Here is an 11,373-nt window from a genome sequence, read left to right on the forward strand (position 1 = left end):
GCATCTGGGGCTGAGAGCACTGTGTGGGCAACAGAAGGAAGGAAACTGTGGCTGGCTGGGAAGGGATGGTACGGGGGACAGGGTGAGACTTCTGGCCCTGGGTGCTCAGATGAAGACCTGGGGTTGCCTAGTGGCTGGAAACACACACCAGCTGTGGCAACTTGACCTCTGGGATGTGAGTGTGCAGGCAGCTGCTGAGAACGGCTGTGGATTTGGAGATGTGGCTACAGGGAATGGGCAGTGGATTCATCTGGGAATTCTGCAGTCAGTGGCCCATAGAGGAAACAGCCTGGAAATGAGACTGCAGATACGTGCTAAAGAGGCTGGAGGAACAGTGACCCCAGTACAAGTTTATGGATCTTATCCACAATCTAAAGAAATGGAGGCCAAATGGCTTTTGAAATTCTAAAATACATGCAGAGGAAGAGTAATGCTTCATGGGAGAGCCAGACTCTTACTGGCAGTGACGCTACACGGTAGAGCTCTGTTCCTCCTGCCCATGTCTGTGGTTGGGGCTGGGGTAGTGCATAAACATGACGCTGATGAGGCCCAAGCATTGTTGGAAAAGAATTCAGCAGCTGCCACAAGAATCTTGAATCCGTGGGTGAAGACCTTGACTTTTTCTGGGACCAATGTGGTCAAGAACAAAGTAAAATAATGACAACAAACACTGTTCAGTTTTCCAAATATAAGCTATTTTAAATACTCTACATTTACCCTCAAAGACTGACATAACTTAGAATAACTTTTATAACAGCAAGGATGAGAACTAAAACTTAAATTGTAAATACAATTTTATTTATAAAAACAAAGTTAGCTTCAAATATTTTATGAACTAGTAGAATTTTAACCTTTTGTCACATTTCCCAGCAAAGTAAATAATTCTTTTTTTCACTTCTAGTCTGTCAGAAGAAAAGTCTTAGCTGAAATGGCCAGAAACTCTGAGGCACACTCCGGAGGCTGCTTCCGGGGCACCTCGGCACGGCCGCTTTTCCATCCCGGCCCTCACTTGATGCGGTCCAGCAGGGTTGAAATTGTTTGAAATGCTTGTTCCCAGTGCGGTAAAGAAATAGCACTTGAATGTAAATTTAATTTCCTCAGCAAGGCCATTTTTTTTTTTTTAATTTCTGCAGAAAGTGTACACTCGCCAGCAGTTTTGCCACAACAGTATACTGAGCAAAGGAGACAGGGTCATTTATAACCTGACGCATCCACCCTACTGCTGTGTCCAGTTTCCAGTGGCTGGAACGGGACCTCACATTCTGTATTTGTCCCGATTGGCTAGCAACTTAGAACTTTTTTAAAGAGGAAAAGGCAGAGGAGAACAAAGGAAGGAGGAAGTAACTTGTGGAATGCTGAAAAAAGTAAAAACACCTTCGAATAAAGAAGAGGAACAGGCAATGACCTAAAGCTTGCTTGGACTAGTATAAGCATGCCAGGGCAAATATTTAGGCTAAATTGTGGGAGCTAAGAACATAAAGTACATTGATTTCTTTATTAGGGCTAGCAGATGTTTAAGAATGTTAGCACGGGTCTTTGAATAAATTTTGCTTCTAAGAGAAGTTACTATTTATTTCTAGTGAGATGGGAAGGAAAGTCTTTGAAGAGGAAACTCTACTTTTTACAGAAGTAGGAACTTAGACTTACAGTTTGCACATTGACAAACTTGTTTTCCTTCCATACACGAGGGGTTTATGATCCTCTGTTGCAACTGATTTGTCTTATGTAACTTCAAGAGTTACTCGTCAACCTACTTACTATTCTGGACTTTTCGGGAAATGGCAATTTGCCTTCCTATTTAGTGGGAGGGATACTGAGACTGCACTTTTTCTTACCCCAAGAAGTGCACAGTGTCATTGCAATGTCAACATCAGGGAGATCTCAGCCAGTGTGAAATAATTAGATCGTCCACTCAAAATTCTTAGTTACATCTTTTTAATATTTTCTTCACACTTCTTAAAAGCAGCTTAACAAGAATTGCATTAGTCAGGGTTTTCCAGAGAAACAGAAAAGAGAGGAGGAGATGTCCAGAATTGTCTCGTGTGATTACAGAGGCTAGAATCCAAGGAAGAGTGGCTTGAGTCCAGGGGCAGAATTCCCTCTTCCCCTGGGAGGTCAGTATTTCTTCCTTTAAGGCCTTCAACTGATTGGATGAGACCCACCCACATTATGGAGCATAATCTGCTTTACTAAAAGTATACTGGCTTAAATGCTAATTTCATCTGAAAAATACCACAGAATAATGTTGACCAAGTACTGGGAGAGGCCTTTTCCTTCGTCTTTTGGTAAATTGCAATCCCTGGGTATATTCACATTTGAAACTCAAATGTGGGCATTGGCTACTGCAGGCCTTTCCCGGCTCAATGGAGTGCAGACAGGGGAGGCACAGGAGTGACTCCACTGTGTGAAGAGAAGACTGATGAGGGCCCATGTGGCACCTCAGGTAGGGTCTGCACTGTCTGGACTATGGTCAGGCCCCTGCCTGAGCCAGCCCTGCTCTCCAGTGTCCCCAAGGAATCCCTGAAACTAGCATCTCATGGAGGAGATAGACGATGCAGGAGGTCCCCTGTGCCCAGAACAAATGGTACAACAAGGCCCCTCTGTTCCCCAAACTGGTCTCAGCAAACTTTCCCCACAGCTTGGATCTGGGCAGGTCACAGGGCCCAAACCTCATGACCAGCAGTGCTGGACCAGGGGGCTAGAAGGGCAGGTGGAGCTCTCTGATGACATTGTGGAGAGGAGGGGTGCCAGGCAAGGGGTGTCCAGGCAGGGGGTGTCCAGGATACTGTCCTGAGAGCCTCTCCAGGAACAGGTGCCCTTAGGGGCAGAGAAAAAGGCAACCGGGGAGACCAGAGGAGTCTGATGCAGATAAGGAGGGGCTCTGTCCAGTGATGTTTCTCCACAATGAGCTCTCCCGAGGACAAGCAGCCTGCTTTATAGGCGAACCCCATTGCACAGTGAGAAGACGAAGACTTCGGAACTCAGTTCCCTAGAACCTCTTCTCTCCCTGCATAGTCCAGCCCTATTGGTCCTTTCTGGTCTTGAAGGTCTTTAATGGAAACAAACCGCAAGGCCAAGGCCAGACCTGCCTGCCCTTCATGCCCATCTCCACGCAGCAGTTGAGTGTGGACTCTGCCTCCCCTGTCCCCCGAACAGTGAGTCCCCACCAGCCCCTCCAGGGACACAGTGCCAGCTCTGCAGCCCTCCCATCCCTCTGTCCATTCTTCTGCAGGCAGGATGGGCACTGTGGCTGGAGGAAGGCTCCTGATCCACTGCTTTGGGGGAATCTGATTTAGCACTCTACAGGGAACCCAACAGAGATCCAAAGCTGAGTACTGATTCAGAGAAAGAACATTTCTGCTAAGCTTAGGGCCTCAGGGAGGACAGATAATTATCTAAAGTTGACAGAACAATCAATTTTCTGGGTCTGAAGTTTACAAACAAAATCCCTCTCCTTTGAAGGCAGATTAGCCATGGAAACACCTTCTACATTGCCTGCCTAAATGGTTTGTCTCTGCAATCAATCTCTCTATTCTTTAAAACAGAATTAGGATAATTTGCATAATTGTTTCTTGTCTCAGAGAAATCTTACAGGGAGGCTGTCTCCAGATAACCAGCAGCCTGGGCTCCAGGCCGACGCCAAACCCACAGGCAGCCTTGTGGTAAGGCTCCAGGCTCTAGAGCCAAAGGATCTAGGTCAGAGGCTCCACCTGGGGCTCCTGCGCCCTCCCTGCCAGGGCGGCAGAGGGAGCCACATCCCTGAAAGCCTCTGGCTTAGGGACCTCAGAATTCCCACCTCTGATAAGGTAATGAAATGAGCCAAAGTTGGTAAAAATCTGTGAACAAACTGGCCTACAGTGGCTAAAACCAGAGGGAGAAAAATAATGTGATAAACCCCCAAACCAGCCATCCTGGGAAGTTTCAAGGGGCTGCTGTGCTCCTGACTCCTCCCCCGCCTCCTGGAGCTGCCCAGGTGAGCAGACAGAGTTTTGAGAGCTGGCGCTGAGACTCTGTGCCTGGAGACAGACACTGGGCAGGGACCCTCAACTTTCCTGTCCGTTTTGCGCAGTGAGTCAGAAACAGATGCTGGGGAGCAGCCAGCAAGCAGAGGGCTGCCTGTCTCAGAGGCAGGAGCATCCACCTCAGAGGATGCCAGGTGGGGAGATCCTGGACTGTGCCACCCCCAGGGAGGGCACAGGCACAGCAGGCCTCTCAGCAGGAGCTCGGGGGTGGAGTAGAGACCAGGGATTCCATAAGACTCCCCACTGCTCCCCATTCCCTAAGGTGCAGCAAAACGTCTCCGCTTCTATGAGGACAGTCCAGACGTCCCCAGCTTCCCCTAGAGCAGACAGAAGGCCTGAGGCCCTGGGAAACCCACGTGCCCACTGGAAGTGGGGAGTAAAAAGACAGAAGGGACCCGTCTGGAAACAAAACCAGTCAAGAACCAGACTCACCACTGCTTCAGAAAATATGGGGAAATGTGAGCATGAATTTCATAAAGCACAGTCAGCAAGCCACGAGGAGGGCCAGCGTCTGATGGACAGGGAGACTGCAGACCCCAGGAAGCAGCAGGAGAACAAGGATTCCCTCTATGATTTCCCACGGCTGATGCTCCCGACCTGGTTTCCCTTCACTGGTGCTCCTCCTGTGTTCCACACTGGATACTATCCTGCCAATCCACGCCCCTTGCTGGCCTTCAGTGAGGTGGAACTCACCACACTCTGGCCTCTTTCTCCACTTCTCTTGCTACTGTCCATTTGCAAAGATCTCAGATGGCTGCACCATGTGTTCTGACCAGAGAAAGACTGCAACCACCTTTGCAAAGCTTATGACAGCGAGGGAGGTCACGCATGACTGACTCCACCTTACCTCTAGCCTCACAGGCAGGCTGTCCTGCTCATGCTTGGGCACAGGCTAAACTAATCCGGGGAGAAATTTAGTTATAAAACAATACTAGTCCCTCTCTAAAACTAAAGCCCTCCTTCCTTGAGGACCAAAAACGAATGAAAGGCCACGTGATTAGGATTTCGGGAGGAGCCCGAACTCTGCTAAAATGTAGACATAGTTTCCGTAATTCCTTATTGTTCAGAAGTCATATGGCTAGAAGTCACACAATTTGTGACTTCTCCAATTGCTTCTGTAGATAACAACACTATTGTAGAGCCTGAGTTTGGTTTTTTCAGCTGTTTTCCAGATTTTTGCATTCTGCCAACCGACTGACCCTACCCAGACCCATGGCTCATGACTCAACTGGTCCTATGCACTCCCACCTCCCCACCCAGAGGCAGACTCCGTGACAGGATCGTTTTCTACACCCTATGACTGCATCCCTAAACAATCAACCGCACCCACTCCCTGGTCCTCTGCCCACCAAACAATCCTTGAAAAACCCAAACCTCCCGTTCTTCTGGGAGACTGATTTGAGTAGCAGCTCCTTCTCCCACGTGGCTAGCTGCATCAATTAAACTGTTTCTTTAGTGCAGTACCACAGTCTCGGTGAATTGGTTTTGTCTGTACAGTGGGTGGGAAGAACCCATTGGGCAACTGCAAGACAGTTCAGCGTGCTTGCTCATCGTACTGGAAATAAAACCTATTTGTAGGGTCAAAGGGGCAAAGTTGTCCCATGTTATTCCCTTTTGGGGAGTTATCTGTTGGGTGTTTCTAGCCTGCTGCAAGCTAGGATAAAGCAGAGGTCCTCGTGCCTCTCCTCCAGGACCCCATACAAACACCTTGTCCTCCATGAAGAACCCGGGACCTGCAGCCCTCCTCTCCTGTGACCTTCCCAGTCACTTCATCCTCATCTCGGGGTGCTGCCAGCTGAATGTGCTGTGCTCACTGGCTGCACCACTACCCCCGTGCACACACACTCCTGCAGATGAGAGCTGCCAAGGCAGAGAGTGAACTTTTCTGATTTGACATTCCCTGTACATTTGTGCCTTGACACGCCACACAAATACAGTGTGCAGACACCAGTAAAAACAGAGAAAAGGTGGGGACATAAAGGCCCAGACGTAAGAGTGGGCAAGGGTGCCCTCTGGTTCATTTCACTCTGCAGTCGACTCCCAAGGTGAACCTAGTGAATTCTGCCTCAGAAGCCCTGGTTTCCTTGTCTCTGACACTGAATCCACAGTAGCCATGATCCACGTTTATTGGATCACCAGTATTTTGAGGAATGTTAGTATCATTCTACAAAAAATATTTTAAAAATTGATTTCTATAATCAGGAAATTTCAGGAAACCCTGAGTAAAAATGATTGATTATTGCAAAACTTCTCTGAAGCTTTCACAAACAAATGTGTGCTCATCTCCAAGGCGAAAGTAAAGTAGGGAACCTGCCCCAAATTTATGAGTCAGTTCAGTGCTTTTCTGTGATCAAATCGGTGTTCTGTCAAGTGCAATGTGGAAAAGGTAATACTGAGGGTCATTTAACTGGCATGTCCAGCGCAGTGCGGAAAAGGGAACATTCCAGGGTCATCTACTCGGCAGCCTCCAAAGGCTGGCACAGTGTATCTTACTTCTCTTCTGCGTTTCTAGCGCCTTCATTAGACCTGAGACGTGGAAATGGCCTAGGAGATCTTATTAACAGTGACGTAGGAATAGGAGTAATTAATTATGTTACAGTAATAGTTGGGTTTTGCATGTTCTAAGCTGGGCTCAGGAAAAGGCCAATAGAAAGGGGCAAATATGGAGTATTTCCTGGTCTTAAGACGCGGGCAGCATGGAGCAGCCAGCTGAGAGTCAAAGGTGGCCAGGGAGTATTTGCCCCCGGATGCCTGCACTGGGAATGGAGAGGTCAGTGTCCTGTCCATCGCATGCCCAGGCATAAGGAAATGGGGCATAAAGCTGGTCATCCCCACCAAAACCAGGGGAGACTTAATGGTCCTGAGGCTAAGTTTTGAGAAGTTCAGCAAATGGCAGACGTGGTAGGATTTCCCCCACAGGCTTCACCTGGATGCACTCCTGTATCCCTGAGGGCATTCCATAGTAAACTGTTGTAAAGGAGCAGACAGGGAGATGCAGAGCCTAGTGTGGTGGGATGGGTGATGGGGCGAGGTGTCCCCAACCTGAACAAGGAAGGCCAAACTGATTCCCCAGGTCTGCCGTGCTCGGGAGATGCGGCCCCTCAGCCCCTTGCTTGAACTCCTTTTGATGAGGTCAGCTGCCTCCCAAGAACAGGCTTTGGCAGCCTGAAAAAGTGCCCAGCACAGCCCTCAGACCACCCTCAGCCTTTCCCCAGACACTGGGCTGCAGTAGCTGAGATAAATGCAGGAGACCGTTCATTAAACCTACAAGGCGAACTGTCTGACCCGGCTGCAAGAAGGTGATTTCACAGGGTGCTGTTTTGGGGAGGTAAGGGACTTACCTGAGCTGCCAGTGGGAAAAAAATGCGTCTCACTGAAGTTGAAATGGCACAATCAGAAGCACTGAGGCCCAGTGCTGGCCCGCCCATGCCATGGACGACATAAGGACTGTTGGAGAAGAGGAGACGTGAACAGTGTGCAGCTTCCCGCCCATGCCATGGACAACACAAGGACTGTTGGAGAAGAGGAGGAAATGTGAATAGTATGCAGCTTCCCGCACACACTGCACCCAGGACTGTTGGAGAAGAGGAGGAGATGTGAACAGTATGCAGCTTCCCGCACACACTGCACCCAGGACTGTTGGAGAAGAGGAGGAAATGTGAACAGTATGCAGCTTCCCGCCCATGCCATGGACGACATAAGGACTTTTGGAGAAGAGGAGGAAACGTGAATAGTATGCAGCTTCCCGCACACACTGCACCCAGGACTGTTGGAGAAGAGGAGGAGATGTGAACAGTATGCAGCTTCCCGCGCTGCCACGCACACTGCACGCGTTGATTGGGTCCCTCGGTACTCAGGCAGCCTCCAAGGCAGGCTTTGCCATTCCTGTTCCCATTTCACAGTTGAAGAAGTGAGGTTCAGAGCTGTGAAGTAAAGGGGCTCGGGTTCAAGCTGGGCTGCCAAATGCTGAGGTGCAGCCCCTGAGGACTTCATAAAAGTCACCCTCTGTGGGAAGAGCTGCCACGGGGCATCATCTGTAGCATCTGGAAGGAACGCCAGTAATCCCACCGTCCCACAGTCATTTCCCCGAGATCTTAGGTCTCAAATGCCTTTGAAAATTCATTTTACATGGCTTTCTCCTCTGTTATATTTCGATCCCCAGGGCATGGTGTATGTGCTAGTTGCCATTTCTAGCCTCAGCCTACTTTATGTAGGCACTGAGCAAATGCTGAATGAATCATTACACATGTTCACTGAGCTTTTTTTGAGAACTCTGACTGGTTGAAGTATTTACTACTCACTCTGGGAACTTGAAACAAAAAGCGACTAAATGACAGAGGCTGGGCCTGAGAGCACAGGTTGCATCGTGCTGGGGGAGGTCCCCTGTGCAGGGCACCATCCCTCACCCACTCACCCGCTCACTCACTCATTCTTCCTTTCACTGGACTCTGTCAACTGGGGGTTCCCACGTGCCACGCCCCGTGCAAGGTGCTGGGTACACAGCAGTGAATGCTGACAATGGTCATGATAATAGGGCTTACCATGTGCGATGCTCTAAGACTAACACACTTCACATCTAGGCACTCACAATAGTGCTTACCACGTGCAATGCTCTAAGGCTAACACACTTCACATCTAGGCACTCTCAAACACACAGCTGTGCTCATTCAATCCCCTTCACAGCCCCAAAGGCAGGCACCACGTTACCCATCTGACTGATGGCAGCAACTTGCTCACACTAACGAATGCCTAACGAGCTGGGGTTTCCTTCCTCGCAGGGCTCACACTCCTACAGGGAAAAGAAACAAAAAGCATGAGAAATAAAAACTGGAAATGAAGAAAATAAAACCAGGTGGGAGGACAGGCAATTGCAGAAGGGGAGGTGGGGGGTGACAGGCAAACCAGGAACTGAGTCATGGAAATGACCCTGTAGTCCTGCGGGGCAGTGCACCTGAGCCCAGGCTGGAGGGCAAGGAGCTGGGTGTATCAAGGCAGTGAGTGGTCAGGCCCACAGACGTGAGAAGCAGGGATGGGAGAACTTGAGACAGGAGACCAGCAAGGGAAAGACAGGCCCACACAGGCAAGGCCCACACAGGAAGGCCCACATGTGGCTGGTGTCTCTGCCATGAACTACCTTCTGCCAGGCTTCCTTGACCACCCCACAAGCCTCCCTGAGGCCAGGGCCACATCCAGAAACTTCACAGAGAGCTACACCCTTCACACTGCTGTTTTAACTTAACAAGCTGTAGTTTGAAAGAGAACTCAGCAAAGCACTCGTGTAATTTCATTAACTTTCTCTCATCTTCTCAGCTGGGCATCTGCAGTTAATAATGTGCATTTGAGGAAAGAAAAATAAAAGGCATCAAAGGCCAGGTTAGAGACAGGGCAGGGACGGGAGCTCTAGGCCAGTGGGTTGTGTTTTTCTGACGTGTGCTCCAGCTGCTGTCAGCTGACTCTAGCCAGTCCCCAGGCCCCGACTCAGGTGCCACCTGGTTGAGGACCTCCAGGGAGTCCTGCTGTGAACGAAAACCCATTGTGATAGGGGCATGCATCCCCTTTGCCACCCCCTCCTCACACACCTGCTTTGGGTTGGGGGTGTGTCTCCTGCTGAACCACAGCACTGCCCCATTTTGGGTAGGACAAGTTCATTTCCATCTTGGAAGAATAGTCCACTCACCAAGGTGTTTGGCAGCTACATATAAACAGAACTTTCAATGAAAGGTTGGAATGCTCATCCTGTCCCACTCCATGTGTGATAGCGTCTGGAACCCTTTCCAGCAGGTCTATTCAACATCAATACAGCAATCTGGGCACACGTCTCGGCCCTGCCCTCACCCGGGGCTGTGGGCACAACTGGGATGCTCAGAGGTGGGCAGGCAAGTGTCATCTCACAGGTGCAGATGTCAAGGCTCTGAGGACACTGTGACCACCCAGCCCACACACGATGGCGGAGGGAAGATCCTGGCCATTTGTGGCCCACCCAGTTTTCCACCGCTCTCTATTTTCCCTACATCCCCACTTCCTCTGCTCCTCTGCAGAGCATGGAGCCCCTTCCACATGTACAAGAGGTGCTGAGTGGGACCGTGGCTGAGAGAAGGCTGCCAGGCTGTGCCCTGTGGTGCGGTGGGCCTGGAGTGTGGGGAGGACTGCAGCGTCTGCAGGTAGGGCACCTGCCATGAGCGGGTCCTCTCCCATCTGACCCTCCTGCCCCCACATCTAGTTCTTCTCTTGCTGCCAGGTTCTACTCATTGGTAAGGTCTGCCTCTTGCTGGAAGCCCTTCCTCCACTCCTGTCGTCCTCAGAAGGGTGACCCTAGAACTCCTGAGGGTGGCATTCAAGAACTTCCCAGCACCACAGATGCTCAAACTGTTTCTTCTCAGGGTCAAAACCACAATGCTGAAATATCATCTCTTCTGAAACTATTCCAATCAATAGAAAAAGAGGGAATCCTCCCTAACTCATTATATGAGGCCAGCATCATTCTGATACCAAAGCCGGGCAGAGACACAACCAAAAAAGAGAATTTTAGACCAATATCCTTGATGAACATTGATGCAAAAATCCTCAATAAAATACTGGCAAAACGAATCCAGCAGCACATCAAAAAGCTTATCCACCATGATCAAGTGGGCTTCATCCCTGGGATGCAAGGCTGGTTCAATATACGCAAATCAATAAATGTAATCCAGCATATAAACAGAGCCAAAGACAAAAACCACATGATTATCTCAATAGATGCAGAAAAGGCCTTTGACAAAATTCAACAACCCTTCATGCTAAAAACTCTCAATAAATTAGGTATTGATGGGACGTATTTCAAAATAATAAGAGCTATCTATGACAAACCCACAGCCAATATCATACTGAATGGGCAAAAACTGGAAGCATTCCCTTTGAAAACTGGCACAAGACAGGGATGCCCTCTCTCACCACTCCTATTCAACATAGTGTTGGAAGTTCTGGCCAGGGCAATTAGGCAGGAGAAGGAAATAAAGGGTATTCAATTAGGAAAAGAGGAAGTCAAATTGTCCCTGTTTGCAGATGACATGATTGTATATCTAGAAAACCCCATTGTCTCAGCTCAAAATCTCCTTAAGCTGATAAGCAACTTCAGCAAAGTCTCAGGATACAAAATCAATGTGCAAAAATCACAAGCATTCCTATACACCAACAACAGACAAACAGAGAGCCAAATCATGAGTGAACTCCCATTCACAATTGCTTCAAAGAGAATAAAATACCTAGGAATCCAACTTACAAGGGATGTGAAGGACCTCTTCAAGGAGAACTACAAACCACTGCTCAAGGAAATAAAAGAGGATACAAACAAATGGAAGAACATTCCATGCTC

General features: G+C 49.1%; 1 annotated feature.

The window, feature by feature from the left end:
* Positions 3,654–4,597: an enhancer, noted in NCBI's record as "NANOG-H3K4me1 hESC enhancer chr7:40498-41441 (GRCh37/hg19 assembly coordinates)". NCBI's record gives its function as "activates a minimal SCP1, AML or CMV promoter by ChIP-STARR-seq in naive H9 embryonic stem cells {active_cell/tissue: H9 hESC(naive)}" and the evidence as "EXISTENCE:reporter gene assay evidence [ECO:0000049][PMID:30033119]".

This window comes from Homo sapiens, chromosome 7, assembly GCF_000001405.40.
Source record: "Homo sapiens chromosome 7, GRCh38.p14 Primary Assembly".
NCBI lineage: Eukaryota > Metazoa > Chordata > Mammalia > Primates > Hominidae > Homo > Homo sapiens.